General features: G+C 41.6%; 1 protein-coding gene across 9 annotated transcripts in view; it reads left to right on the forward strand.

Annotated features, from left to right (window-relative positions):
- The window catches only part of AGO3 (argonaute RISC catalytic component 3), a 141783-nt gene that overhangs the window by 108844 nt on the left and 16956 nt on the right, over window positions 1-15983 (forward strand). For all 9 annotated transcript variants that reach the window (XM_017000523.3, XM_005270575.5, NM_024852.4 and 6 more), the window contains 4 exons: window positions 229-423; window positions 746-880; window positions 3886-3987; window positions 15385-15584. In XM_017000523.3, coding sequence (XP_016856012.1) covers window positions 229-423; window positions 746-880; window positions 3886-3987; window positions 15385-15584 — 632 coding nt within the window. The remainder of the gene's footprint in view (window positions 1-228; window positions 424-745; window positions 881-3885; window positions 3988-15384; window positions 15585-15983) is intronic.

Consider the following 15983-nt stretch of genomic DNA (forward strand, 5'->3'; position numbering starts at 1 on the left):
GCCTTAAATTCCTGGGCACAAGTGATCCTCCTGCCTCAGCTTCCTGAGTAGCTGGGACTATAGGCACATGCCGTCATACCCAACTCAGAATTACTATTTTTGATTACTTTCAAAGTAAACAGTGATGAACAGGTTACAGTAAAATAAAAATGTAAATGAAATTCATGTAATTTTGATTATCATTTATTTTTATTTATTTATTTATTTATTTTACTTTTTCTAACCTAGGTTGTAGGTAGTATGGATGCACACCCAAGCAGATACTGTGCCACAGTAAGAGTTCAGAGACCCCGACAGGAGATCATCCAGGACTTGGCCTCCATGGTCCGGGAACTTCTTATTCAATTTTATAAGTCAACTCGGTTCAAGCCTACTCGTATCATCTTTTATCGGGATGGTGTTTCAGAGGGGCAGTTTAGGCAGGTTGGTTACCTAGAATCTCATCAGACTATGGTGAAATCAGATATTGTGTTTATAATATGGTGTCTAGTTCTAGAGTTAAAAACCTTGTTAGAGTTCCCCAAGTCAAAACTTGGTGTTTTGTTAGATTGTCTTTTTGAAAATGTTCACTACGAATGTGTATGCCTTGCTTGCTAAGACCATGTTCTAATAATCGTTAAAATGGAATCTATTAGCTATAGAGTGGTGAAATTAAGGAATCCTGAGATTAAATCATTATCCTACTTTGAAGTATATAAAAACAAATAGCTGACTATATTGAATCTTTCCATTTCATATTCTCTAGGTATTATATTATGAACTACTAGCAATTCGAGAAGCCTGCATCAGTTTGGAGAAAGACTATCAACCTGGAATAACCTACATTGTAGTTCAGAAGAGACATCACACTCGATTATTTTGTGCTGATAGGACAGAAAGGGTAATCTCACCTCTGTTGTAATACTGTTATAAACCAAGCTTATCCAACATAGTTCATAGAGCATTCAACAAGGGCCCTCTGCCAACAGCAGGATTTCCAATATATAGTAGCAAATTTCAACAATTACATTATGAGTATAGAAGCATCAAAATAGATTATTTTTAACTTTCTAGAATTTCTAGTCACACTCCAAATATTCAAAATCTCATTCTACTTTTTTGTTGTGAAGAAACTCATGGTTTTAAAATTATTCTTCTATTCATATTTTCCTAAAATCTTCAGAAAAAACAGTACATTCTCTTTTTAAAATATCTCATACAAATTAGTTTTTTAAAAAAGTGGAAATTCAGGCCAGGCACAGTGGCTCACACCTGTAATTCCAGCACCTTGGGAGGCCAAGGCAGGCAGATCACTTGAGGTCAGGAGTTCAAGACCAGCCTGGCCAACACGGTGAAACCCTGTCTCTACTAAAAATACAAAAAATAGCCAGGTGTGGTGGCGCACATCTGTAATCCCAGCTACTCGGGAGACTGAGGCAGGAGAATCACTTGAACCCAGGAGGCAGAGGTTGCAGTGAGCCGAGATGGTGCCACTGTACTCCAGCCTGGGCAAGAGAGCAAAACTCCATCTCAAAAAAAAAAAAAAAAAAAAAAGTGGAAATTTATACAAACTAACTTTTAGCCATGTTTCCTTTAAAGTTCACAGAATTATTTTATGCATTTTATAATGTGAATGTATATTTTTTATAATTAGGAAGGAAAGAGAGGTATAAATACCTAAGGAAATATGTTTTCTTTTTTTTTTTTTTTTTTTTTTTTGAGACGGAGTCTCACTCTGTCGCCCAGGTTGGAGTGCGGTGGCGCGATCTCAGCTCGCTGCAAGCTCCGCCTCCCAGGTTCACGCCATTCTTCTGCCTCAGCCTCCTGAGTAGCTGGGACTACAGGCGCCTGCCACCATGCCCGGCTAATTTTTTGTATTTTTAGTAGAGACAGGGTTTCACCGTGTTAGCCAGGACGGTCTCGATCTCCTCACTTTGTGATCCGCCTGCCTCGGCCTGCCAAAGTGCTGGGATTACAGGTGTGAGCCACTGCGCCCGGCCAGAAATATGTTTTCTTATCTGTGTGCAGCAAGACAGCAGTCTTACTGTCATTTTCAGTGCTCTGATCACATCTGCCCCCATCCTGTAAATCTTGGAGCAGAGAAATCTAATGATACCAAGTGTTGTTTCCCCTTGAGAAAGGGATTTGATAGAAAGGACTAAGAGAGGGGTGTTTTTCTTTGCCATACATACTCACTGTATTCCTTTGGGCAAGCAACTTAACATCTCTGTGTCTGTTTATTTCTTAGCAAGATTGGATAATATTAATATCTACCTTATTTGGGTTGTCGGGAGAATTAAATAAAATACGTAATGCACTTAGAACAGGGCTTGGCCCACACTAAGTACTCAGTAAAGATTGGCTAGCTCTCATTAGTAGAGTGATGAGAACAAAAAAAAATTAATAAATAAAGTTTGGCTAGCTGCAGAGTGGTGGTGATAGTGGTAGAATAGAGAAGAAGAAATAATAATAGATATTGTTCTAAGTATTGCTTATAAATTTCATCAATTTAATCCTCACCAACAAGATTATGAGATAGTTGTATTTTTTTGTTTTTGTTTTTTTTGACAGTTTTGCTCTGTTGCCCAGGCTGGAGTGCAGTGGCATGACTTTGGCTCACTGCAGCCCCCACCTCCTGGGTTCAAGTGATTGTCAGGCCTCAGCCTCCTGAGTAGCTGGGATTACAGGCATGTGCCACCACACCCGGCTAATTTTTGTAGTCTTATTAGAGGCAGGATTTCACCATGTTGGCCAGGCTGGTCACAAACTCCTGGTTTCAAATGATCCGCCCACCTCGGCCTCCCAAAGTGCTAGGATTATAGGTGTGAGCCATCACACCCAGCCTACAACTTTTTGTATATATTAATTAGAAGATTTACGTGTTGCTAATTTATTAGAGTTAAGTATTTTTTTAGGACCAGGCATAATTTAGTAGATTATGAACTGTTTTGTTTTGTGCTTGGTAAAGTGAAGCTGGTTGGTCCACACCACTATAATTCAAGGTACTACCTTATAACAGTCACTCACGTGGCAAAAATATTATCTGAGTCAGTAAAATAGTTTCTGATTTGCTAGCCTTGTAAACCTAGACTTACAGTTAATGATTTTAAATGTGTTGGGATAAGGCGGTGGAGGTGGGTATAATAAACATTTTTAAGTGTTTTATAAGGAGCTTGTATCATCAAGAATTTTGGGTCATTTCAGTTATATTATATCCACTCAGAGAAAATCATGGTGTCCTCTTACAAGATGTTGAAACTGATAGTATGAAATAAAAGGAATAAGGCCTTTGCAATTATTTCATTGTTTGAATCCCAGTTCTGCCCTTTATTGTGTGCTATTGAGCAAATTATTTTGTATTCCTGAGCCTTTATTTCCCTAAACAAATGGAAATAATCCCTAACTTGCAGGATTGTTACCAGGTTTTAGAAATAATGTGTTCAAAGTGCCTGATCCATAAATGGTTAACAAATGGTGTGACTGTTGTTGATCTTGTCAGCATTCTCTCTCTCTAAACATCTAGTTTTCTCCAAGGTAAATGCTGATCTTCATAAATCACACGTTCAAGAATACCTACTATGCACAGGTACCATAAATTGGAGCACTTTAAGTTAATTTAAAAAAAATTTTTTTTAGTGTCTTCCACCCATAGTGGGGTCAACTATCAGCTAAGCAGTAGTAGAGACTGTATTAGGTTTTGTTGTGTATCAGCGCTCACTTTCAGCAACATGTAAGAATAGGAACTAGGACCTGCGTAGTCTGCTCTGAATGACTGCTTAAGTCATATTTCAAGGTGAAAGTAGTGAAATGTAGGATCAGCCTATGTATTCATACATTTTTTAAAGTGCTTTCAGATATATTTTTACCTTTTTCTTGTTTGTTTAAACTTTAACCAAACAAATCTAGGTTGGAAGAAGTGGCAATATCCCAGCTGGAACAACAGTTGATACAGACATTACACACCCATATGAGTTCGATTTTTACCTCTGTAGCCATGCTGGAATACAGGTAAGCCTACACTTTGGGTAAAATATTTTAATTCAAGAACTGTCATTCTTACGTGTATTTTTTAAATCTCAGAAAAAGGATAAAGAAATACTCTTTGCATTCCAAATTGTTTCCACATGAAATTAGATGAAACTTTCAGTAAACAAATGTCTTCCCTTTCCTTACCTTGAGAGGGGCTTAGGAACTTATTTTTATGAAAATACCAGAATATAAGTAGTTTAATAGAATGAATCTCCCTAAAACAGGCCCTTAATTTCACTAAAATGTTAAAAAATGTGAAAGTACCTGATTGTTCCTTTAGCATATGCATCTTTAAAAAAAAAAGAGAGAGAGAGAAAGAGAAAGCACTATTTTGCTCAGGCTAGACTAGAACTCTTGGGCTCAAGCAGTCCTCCCACCTCAGCCTCCCAAGTAGTTGGGACAACAGGCCTCCACACTCAGCTAATGACGATAACATTTTATAGAAAACTTTGACATGTACTAGTAGTATTAAGCATGTGAAAGAGTTTAATTGGGCTGGGCATGGTGGCTCACGCCTATAATTCCAACACTTTGGGAGGCTGAGATGGGCAGATTGCTTGAGTTCAGGAGTTTGAGACCAGCCTGGGCAACATAGAGAAACCCCGTCTCTACAAAAAATATAAAAATTAGCCAGGTGTGGTAGCACGTGCCTGTAGTCTCAGCTATTCAGGAGGCTGTCGTGGGAGGATCACTTGAGCGCGGAGGCAGAGGGAGGTTGCCATGAGCCAAAATCATGCCACTGCACTCCAGGCTAGGTGACGGAGCCAGACCTTGTCTCAAAAAATAAAAAAAAATTTAATTGTAGAATTACAGCTTTAGTTTTTTTTTGTTGTTGTTGTTGTTTTGTTTTGTTTGTTTGTTTGTTTGTTTTTGAGACAGAGTCTCACTCTGTTGCCCAGGCTGGAGTACAGTGGCATGATCTCGGCTCACTGCAAGCTCCGCCTCCCAGGTTCAAGTGACTCTCATGCCTCAGCCTCCCTAGTAGCTGGGATTACAGACTGAGATTACTGGGTGCCACCACACCCAGTAATTTTTTTATTTTTATTTTTTCTAGTAGAGACAGGGTTTCACCATGTTGGCCAGGCTGGTCTCAAACTCCTGACCTCAAGTAATCCGCCCACCTTGGCCTCCCAAAGTGCGGGGATTACAGGCTTGAGCCACTGCACCTGGCCTTAAGTTTCAGTTAAATAATTTAAAAAGTTTTTCTTATTCTTTCCAGAAAACCTTTTCATTAATGTGTTAGCTTTACTTGGTGGAACATAAGCTTTAAATCAGTGCATCTCAAACTTTCCAACAACAAAAAGTAAACTGACATTCCCAGGATGTCTGAGAGTCTATAACCCAAAACTATTTTAGGTTACTTGCCATTATTGATTAAGATAGAAATTTCCAGATGTACCTTACCATACAGCTCTGTATCTTATAGCTTTATATGTCCCACATATACGAACCTGTTTCAGATTCATGGCTTTAAATTATTGTCTGACTCATTTATCCATGTTCTTATATCAGCTCCTCTTTACAATTAATGTTGTACATTTTCAGGGTTGGTGGTTAATGGGAGGTCCAGAGGAAGTGATGTCAGCAAGATGGCTGACTAGAAGCCCCTAGTGCTTGCTCCCCTCACAAAGAAAGCCAGAAAAACAGATAAACAACTACATTTTTTTTTTTTAACGGAGTCTCACTCTGTCACCCAGGCTGGAGTACAGTAGTGTGATCTTGGCTCACTGCAACCTCTGTCTCCCAGGTTCAAGCAATTCTCCTGCCTCAGCCTCCCAAGTAGCTGGGACTACAGGCACCCACCACCATGCCGAGCTAATTTTTGCATTTTTAGTAGAGATGGGATTTCACCATGATGGCCAGGCTGGTGTCGAACTCCTGACCTCAGGCAATCCGCCCACCTCAGCCTACCAAAGTGCTGGGATTACAGACATGAGCCACCATGTCCGACCTTTTTTTTTTTTGAGATGGAGTTTTGCTTTTGTCGCCCACGCTAGAGTGTAATGGCGTGATCCCAGGCTAGAGTGTAATGGCGTGATCTCAGCTCACTGCAATCTCCACCTCCCAGGTTCAAGCGATTCTTCTGCCTCAGCCTCCGGAGTAGCTGGAATTATAGGCTTCTGCCACCACACGCGGCTAATTTTTATATTTTTAGTAGAGATGAGGTTTCACCATGTTGGCCAGGATGGTCTTGAACTCCTGACCTCCGGCGATCCACTTGCCTCAGCCTCTCAAAGTGCTGGGATTGTAGGCATGAATCACTGCACTGGGCCAAACAACTATATTTTAATGAAAATAACTGAGGGAGAGCCCTGGAGTGCATCAGAGGAGTAACAGAAACCCTGGTGAGCACAGAAACTCGGGATGACCACACAGAGAACAGAAAGAAACACTGAGCCTCCACTACTCCATCTCCAAATCAGGATCAGCTGGGAACCAGGAGGAACTTCTCCCTGCAGTGAACAGATAAGCAAGAGGATCCCAGCAATCCCCATCAACACCTTGGACACCTACACTGGGGTCCCCAGCACTGTTCTTAGGCACTAATCCCATCTTGGGGAGTTGCCTGGAGTCCACATAAGTGTACCCTCCCAACCCGAGAAAAGGAGCTGATACTGTGCTCCACCCACTGTGGTCCAAGCAGCTACTGCACTACTCCATCTTGGAAGTGGAACTATAGCTGGGATATGTCTTGCTCCAGGGGCAAGTAGCCATGACTCCTCTTTATTGTTAAGGCTATGCTATCACCAAATTACTCCAGCCCAGTGGCCTGACAGCCCTGTCGAGCTGCAAGCACCTGTTACACCTTGTGCCTTGGCCATTTAAAGAGATCATACCTCGGCCAGGTGCGGTGGCTCACACCTGTAATCCCAGCACTTCGGGAGGCCGAGGCGGGCATATCACCTGAGGTCAGGAGTTTGAGAACAGCCTGGCCAACATGGTGGAACCCTGTCTCTACTAAAACTACAAAACAAATTAGTTGGACGTCATGGCGCGCGCCTGTAGTCCCAGCTACTCCAGCCTGGGCAACAGAGTGAGACTCAGTCTCTATTTAAAAAAAAAAAAAAAAAAAAAAAAAAAAAAAAGAGGTCATACCTCTCCAGTGCCTAAATTGAAGGAGTACATTGCATCTCAATGTACTAAGCAGTGCCTTAGTCATCCAGAGCAGTCACACACTCCAGTACCTAAGCTGAAGCAGTGCCCTGCATATCAGGGAAACCATGTCTGGGCCACCCAGAACAGGCATAGCCCCATGCCTGAGCTGAACTGGCACTGGGGAATTGGTGCCCTGGAAGATCTGAGCAGCTCTGTATCCCATAGATATTGGGATAGCCCAAATATATTGAGATACAAGAAAATACCAATAGACAACTCAACAAAATCGGGAAAGCAGGCCGGCCGCAGTGGCTCACGCCTGTAATCTCATTACTTTGGGAGGCCGAGGCAGGCAGAACACCTGAGGTCGGGAGTTCAAGACCAGCCTGACCAACATGGAGAAAACTTGTCTGTATTAAAAATACAAAATTAGCTGGGGTGGTGGCACATGCCTATAATCCCAGCTACTCGAGAGGCTGAGGCAGGAGAATTGCTTGAACCTGGGAGGTGGAGGTTGCAGTGAGCCGAGATCACGCCACTGCACTCCGGCCTGGGCAACAAGAGCGAAACTCTGCCTAAAAAAAAGATCGGGAAAGCAATTCACAATATGAACAAGAAATTCAACAAAAAGATAGAAATTTAAAAAGAACCAAACAGAAATCTTCAGCTGAAGAATTCAATGGAAAATACAAAATATAATAGAGAGCTTCAACAGCAGATTTGATCAAGCAGAAGAATCTCTGAACTTGAAGACAGGTCATTTGAAAAAAAAATCGGAGTCAGAAAAAAAAAAGAAGTAAGAATGAAAAAGAGTGAAGAGCGCCTCTGAGACTTATGAAACACCAGTAAGCAAATAAATATTTGTATTATGGGAGTTCCAGAAGGAGAAGAGAAAGGGAAAGGTGTAGAAAAATCTGCTTAATGAAATATTAGGTTGGGCATGGTGGCTTACACCTGTAATCCCAACACTTTGGGAGGCCAAGGTGGGCAGACCGCTTTTGCTCATGAGTTTTGAGTCCAGCCTGGGCAACATGGTGATACCCCATCCCTACAAAAAATACAAAAATTAGCCAGGCATGGTGGCATGCACCTGTAGTCCCAGCTACTCGGGACTGAGGCAGGAGGATCACTTGAGCCGGGGAGGTTGAGGCTGCAACGAGCTGAGATCACACCACTACACTCTAGCCTGGGATGACAGAGTGAGGCCCTGTCTCAAAAAAAAAAGAAATAATAGCTGAAAACTTCCCAAATCTGGGGAGAAATATAGACATCTAGATCTAGGAGGCTCAAAAGTCTCCAAACAGATCGAACCCTAAAAGGTTCTTCCCAAGGAACATTGTAGTCAAATTGTCAAGTCAAGGACAGACAGAATTCTAAAAACAACAGAAAAGCATCAAGTCACTTAGAATCTTCATTAAACTAACAGCAGATTTCTCCACAGAAACCTTATAGGCCTGGAGAGATTGAGATGATATATTCAAAGGGCTGAAAAAAAAAATTGTCAGCCAAGAATGCTGTACCCAGTAGAGGATCATGTGAGCTCAGGAGGCAGAGGTTGCAGTGAGCTATGATTGTGCCACTGTACTCCAGCCTGGGCAACGGAGTGAGACCCTGTCTCAATCATTCAATCAATCAATCAATCAATCAATAAGAATCCTATTTCCAGCAAAGCTAACTTTTAGAAATGAGGGAGAAATAGTATTTCCGAGACATGCATAAACTGAGGACATTTATCACCACTAGATTCGACCTATAGGAAATGTTCGAGGGAGGCAAAAAGTCAATAATCATTATTATGGAAACAACAGTATAAAACTCACTGGTAGAACAGATACACAAGAAAGAAACAGAAAAGATTCAAACCTTGTTGCTCTACAGAAAACCACCAACCCACCATGATAATAAGAAGAAAGGAAGAAAGGATATAGAAAACAAGCAGAAAACAATTAACAAAATGACAGGAATAGGCCTTCACCTATCAGTAGTAACTCTGAAGGTAAACAAATTAAATTGCCCACTGAAAAGATGTAGACTGGCTAAATGAATTTTTTTCTCACTCTGGTTTCCAGGCTGGAGTACAGTGGTGCAATCTCAACTCACTGCAACCTCTGCCTCCTGGGCTCAGGCGATCCTCTTGCCCCAGCCTCCTGCATGGCTGGGACTACAGGCATGCATCACCACACAAGGCATGCATCACCACACCTGGCTTATTTTTGTATTTTTGTAGAGACGGGATATCACTATGTTGCCCAGACTGGTCTTGAATCCAGAGCTCAAGCAATCCACCTGCCTCATCCTTCCAAAGTGCTGGGATTACTGGCGTGAGCCACCAAGCCCAGCCACTGAATGAATTTTTTAAAAGAATGAAACCATATCCTTTACAGCAACATAGATGGAGCTGAAGGTCATAATCCTAAGCAAACTAACACAGGAACAGAAAACCAAATACTGCATGCTCTCACTTAAAAGTGGGAGCTAAACATTGAGCACACATGGACATAACATGGGAATAATAAACACTGTGGACTACTAGAGAGGAGGGCAGGGGGGATGGGTTGAAAAATTCTATTGGGGCTGGGTGCAGTGGCTCACGCCTGTAATCCCAGCACTTTGGGAGGCCAAGGCCGGTGAATCACAAGGTCAAGAGATCAAGACTGTCTTGGCCAACATGGTGAAACCCCATCTCTACTAAAAATACAAAAATTAGCCAGGCATGGTGGCACGCACCTGTAGTACCAGCTACTTGGGAGGCTGAGGCAGGAGGATCACTTGAACTCAGGAGGCAGAGGTTGTAGTGAGCCGAGATTGCGCCACTGCACTCCAACCTGGCGACAGAGCAAGGCTCTATCTCAAAAAAAAAAAAAAGAAAAGAAAAACTACTGGGTGCTAAGCTCACCATCTGGGTGTAATATACCCATGTAACAAATCTCACATGTACCTCCTATATTTAAAATACTGAATTTTTTAACAATCCAAATATATGCTGCCTATGAGAAATTCACTTCACCTGTAAAGACACATATAAACTGAAAGTGAAGAGATGGAGAAAGTCATTCATTCCATGCAAGCGGAAAAGAAATGCAAGCAGGAGTAGCTGTATTTAAGTTAGACAAAACAGACTTTAAGTCAAAAACTATAAAATGAGACAAAGAAGGTCATTATATAATGCTAAAGGGATCAATTTACCAAGAGGATATAACAGTTGTAAATATATATGCAGCCAACACTGGAGCATCCAGATATATAATATAAAGCAAGTATTATTAGCTCTAAAGAAAGAAGGAGACTCCAATAATAGTAGTTGAGAACTTCAACACCCCACTGTCAGCGCTTGACAGATCATCTAGACAGAAAATCAACAAAGAAACATTGGATTTAAAATACACTTTAGACCAAATGGACCTAACAAATATATACAAAGCATTTCATCCAGCAGCTGCAGAATATACATTATTTTCTCAGCACATGGAACATTCACCAGGATAGACCACATGTTAGGCCACAAAACAAATTTCAACAAATTTAAAATAATGGAGGCGGTCAGGTGTGGTGGCTCATGCCTATAATCCCAGTACTTTGGGAGGCCAAGGTGAGTGGATCACTTGAGGTCAGGAGTTCAAGACCACCCTGGCCAACATGATGAAACCCCACCTCTACTAAAAATACAAAAATTAGCCAGGAGTGGTGGCACATGCCTGTAATCCCAGCTACTCAGGAGGCTGAGGCAAGAGAATCGCTTGAACCTAGAAGGTGGAGGTTGCAGTAAACCAAGATCACGCCACTGCACTCCAGCCTGGGCGACAGAGTGAGACTGTCTCAAAATAAATAAATTAAATTAAATAATTGCCGGGTGTGGTAGCTCACGCCTGTAATCCCAGCACTTTGGGAGGCTGAGGCAGGTGGATCACTTGAGGTCAGGAGTTCGTGACCAGCCTGGCCAACATGGCAAAACCCCGTCTCTACTAAAAATACAAAAATTAGCCGGGTGTGGTGGCGGGCGCCTATAATCCCAGCTACTCAAGAGGCTGAGGCAGGAGAATCGCTTGAACCCAGGAGGCAGAGATTGCAGAGCCGAGATCACACCATTGCACACTCCAGCCTGGGTGACTGAGTGGGACTCTATCTCAAAAAAAAAAAAAAAAAAAGATACTTGATTTGATTTCTTTCGTTTTGTTTTGTTTTGTTTTGTTTTGTTTTGTTTGAGACAGGGTCTCACTCTGGTGAGATCATGGCTCACAGGAACCTTCGCCTCCTGGGCTCAAGTGATCCTCCCACATCAGCCTCCCGAGTAGCTAGGGCCACAGACACATGCCACCATGCCTGGCTAATTTTGACATTTTTTGTAGAGACAAGGTTTTTCACTATGTTACCCAGGCTGAGTTTAAGCAGTCCACCTACCTTGGCCTCCCAAAGTGCTGGGATTACAGATGTTAGCCACTGCACCCAGCCTCAATTATTTTTTTGATTTAATGTTGGCCAGGCTGGTCTCGAACTCCTGACCTCAAATGATCCGCCTGCCTCGGCCTCCCAAAGTACTAGGATTACAGTCATGAGTTACCATGCCCGGCCTCAAATATCTTTTACATGGAAATTAAACAGTATGCTCCTGAACAACCAGTGACTGGTCAATGAAGAAATTAAGAAGAAATTTTTAAAATTTCTTGGAACAAATGAAAATAGAAATACAACATTCCAAACCCTGTGGGATAGAGCAAAAACAGAATTCAGAGGGAAGTTTATAGCAATAAACATTTACATCAAAAACATAGAAACGGCTGGGCACATGGTACATGCCTGTAATCCCAGCTTCTCAGGAGGCTGAGGCAGGAGGACTGCTTGAGCCCACAAGTTCAAGACAAGCCTGGGCAACATAGTGAGACCTCATCTCTACAAAAAATAAAAAAATTAGCTGGACGTGCTGACATGTACCTGTGGTCCCAGCTACTCAGGAGGCAGAGGTGGGAGGATCACTGGAGCCCAGAAGGGCAAGGCTGCAATGAGCCTGGGCAACAGAACAAGACTCTGTCTCAAAAAAACAAGGTATTAATATCCAGGATATCCAAAGAACTCAAACAACTCAACAGCAAAAATAATAATAATAATTTGATTTTAAAATAGGCAAATGTCTCAAGAGAGTAATTGAGACGATCAAGAGGTATATGAAAAAATGCTCAACATCAATAATCACCAGGGGAATGCCAATTAAAATCACAATGAGATATCATCTCACTCAAATTAATATAGTCATTATCAAAAAGACAAAGAATGCAGAGAAAGGGGAACTCATATGCACTATTGGTGGCAATGTACATTAGTACAGCCATTAGGGAAATCAGTATGGAAGTTCCTCATAAAACTGAAATTAAAACTACCATATGATCCAGCCATCCCACTACTGAGTATATATGCAAAGGAAAGGAAACAGTGTGTCAAGAAGATATCTGCATCCCCATGTTTATTGCAGTACTATTACAATAGGCAAGATATGGAATCAACCTAAGTGTCCCTCAACAGATGAATGAAGAAAATATGGTATTTATACACAATGAAATACTATTTAGCCACAAAAAAAGAATGAAATTCTGTCATTTGTGGCAACATGGATGAGTCTGGAGGACATTATGTTACATGAAATAAACCAACCACAGAGAGATATATACTGCATGATCTCACTGGTGGAAGCTATAAAAGTTGATGTCATAGAAGTAGAGAGTAAAATAGTAGTTACTAGAGGCAGGAAAGGGAGGGGGATTACCAAAGACTGGTTAACAGATACAAAATTACAACTAGATAGGAGGAATAAGTTCTAATATTCTATAGCACTATAGGATGGCTGTAATTACCAACTTATTGTATATTTTCAAATAACCAGGAGAGTGGGTTTGGAATTTTCCTGGCACAATGTTTGAGGCATAGATATCCTAATTACCCTGATTTGATCATTATACATTATATATGTGTATCAAAATATTACACTGTACCTCATAAATATGTGTAATTATTATGTGTCCATGAAAAATAACAAAAGCCAAAAAAAGTTAATAGTATCTTCTAGGGATTAAAACCTATATATATCAGGCTCAGGCCTGTAATCTCAGCACTTTGGGAGGCCGAGGCGAGTGGATTGCTTCAGCCCAAGAGTTGGAGACCAGTCTGGGCAACATGGCAAAACCTCATCTCTATAAAAAATAAAAAAATTAGCTGGGTGTGGTGGTAGGTGCCTGTAGTCCCAGCTACTCCGGAGGCTGAGGGGAGGATCACCTGAGCCTGGGAGGTCGAGACTGCAGACCCTGTCTCTAAATAAATAAATAAATAAATCCTATATGACTGGTTTATATATTTTAACCTAGTGTTTCCTCCAGTATTTAATAAATACCACATTGCATCCAGATGACTGTATTTTAAAAATCACAGAGGAGAAAGATTCTCTCTTCAAGTTAAGTTTTAGAAATGCTGTTAAACAGATTTTTTTTATTACGGAACTTTTGAAGACCATTGATATGCAAATGACCATTATGAATCTTCAAGATAGAAATATTTCTCCGATATATTTAATCAGAAACCTTAGGGAACAGTTTTCCTTTTTTTTTTTAACTTTTAAAATTTTTATTTTTATTTATTTATTTACTTTTTGAGATGGAGTCTCGCTCTGTCACCCAGGCTGGAGTGCACTGGTGCAGTCACGGCTTACTGCAACCTCCACCTCCCAGGTTAAAGAGATTCTCCTGCCTCACCCTCCCAAGTAGCTGGACTACAGGCACATGCCACTACACCCAGCTCATTTTTTGTATTTGTAGTAGAGAGGGGGTTTTGCCATGTTGGGCAGGCTGGTCTCGAACTCTTGTTCGATCCACCTACCTTGTCCTCCCAAAGTGCTGGGATTACAGGTGTGAGCCACCACACCCAGCCTATTTTTGTTTTATTATTTATTTGAGACAGGGTCTTGCTGTGTTGCCCAGGCTGGAGTGCAGTGGCACAATCACCACTCACTGCAGCCTTGACTTCCTGAGCTCAGCAATCTTCCTGCCTCAGCCTCCCACCTAGCTGGGACTACAGGTCCACACCACCACACCTGGCTAATTTTTTTTTTTTTTTTTTTTTTTTGAGACAGTCTCGCTCTGTCACCAGGCTGAAGTGCAGTGGTGCGATCTCGGCTCACTGCAACCTCCAACTCCCTGGTTCAAGCGATTCTCCTGCCTCAGCCTCCTGAGTAGCTGGGCTTACAGGCACGCATCACCACGCCTAGCTAATTTTTGTATTTTTAGTAGAGATGGGGTTTCACCATATTAGCCAGGATGGTCTTGATCTCCACCACATCTGGCCCACACCTGGCTAATTTTTTAAATCTTTTTGTAGAGATGAGGTCTTCCTATGTTGCCTAGGCTAGTCACAAACTCCTGGGCTTGAGCTGTCCTCCCACCTCAGCCTCCCCAAAGTGCTGAGACTATAAGCATGAGCCACCATGCCCAGCCTGAACAGATTTCCTTTAGGATATCAGTTTGAAACTTCTGCTGTAGTCAGCAAATAACCAATAATATTTCACAGAGACTAAAAACTGTTCTTTATACATCTTCCCAGCTTTACTTTTCTATTTTATTTTATTTCATTTCATTTATTTATTTATTGAGACAAAGTTTCACTATGTCACCCAGGCTGGAGTGCAATGATGGGATCATAGTTCACTGCAGCCTTGACCTCCTGGGCTCAAGTGATCTGCCTGCCTCAGCCTCCCAAGTAGCTGGGACTACAGGTGCATGCCACCACATCTGGCTAATTTTTTTTTTACCTTTTGTGGAGATGGAGCCTCACTGTGTTGTGCAGGCTGGTCTTGAACTCCTGGCCTCAAGCTACCCTCCCACTTTAACCTCCCAAAGTGCCAAACCTGTTTTTTATGTGACTTGGTATTAAATATTTATTAAAAAGTTCAAAATTGGGCTCAGCACAGTAGCTCACGCCTGTAATTCCAGCACTTTGGGAGGCTGAGGCAGGCAGATCGTTTAAGGTCAGGAGTTTGAGACCAGCCTGACCAACATGGCAAAACCCTGTCCCTACTAAAAATACAAAAAATTAGCTGGGCATGATCACACATGCCTGTAATCCCAGCTACTGGGGAGGCAGAGGCACTAGAATCTTTTGAGCCCCAGAGGTGGAGGTTGCAGTGATCTGAGATCACGCCATTGCACTTCAGCCTGGGTGACAGAGCAAGACTTTGTCTCAAAAAACAAAACAAAACAAAAAGAGTTCAAAATTCAACAGTGTATGTCATTGCCTTCTCTATAGGGTACCAGTCGTCCTTCACACTATCATGTTTTATGGGATGATAACTGCTTTACTGCAGATGAACTTCAGCTGCTAACTTACCAGCTCTGCCACACTTACGTACGCTGTACACGATCTGTTTCTATACCTGCACCAGCGTATTATGCTCACCTGGTAGCATTTAGAGCCAGATATCATCTTGTGGACAAAGAACATGACAGGTAATATAAAAGCATAACAGGTTCTCACCCAAATCCCAATATTGTCTGCATGGTAGGATTTTCAAGTTCCACAAGCTATTAGCGGAGTCAGTGATCCATGTGAAAAATGATGACAGAACTGACTGCCCAAGGTTTCCTATTGAAATATATTGTCTAGGCTCATTAGTAATAGAATCATGTAGTAACTTAGTTGTTTTACTACATTAATTCAAAGGAGAGATTATTGGTAATAAAGTGATACATTCAGACAGATAGACAAAATGATACGATATCTAGGTTTGCTTCTAATTAATTCTGGGGAGGTGAGAGAAGTAAAACAAAATTGGCCTTGAGTTAATAGTGATTGAAGCTGAGTGATGGACACATAGATTGTTACACCAGTCTCTTATTTGTTAATAA

Source organism: Homo sapiens, chromosome 1 (assembly GCF_000001405.40).
Source record: "Homo sapiens chromosome 1, GRCh38.p14 Primary Assembly".
In the NCBI taxonomy this organism is placed as follows: Eukaryota; Metazoa; Chordata; class Mammalia; order Primates; family Hominidae; genus Homo; species Homo sapiens.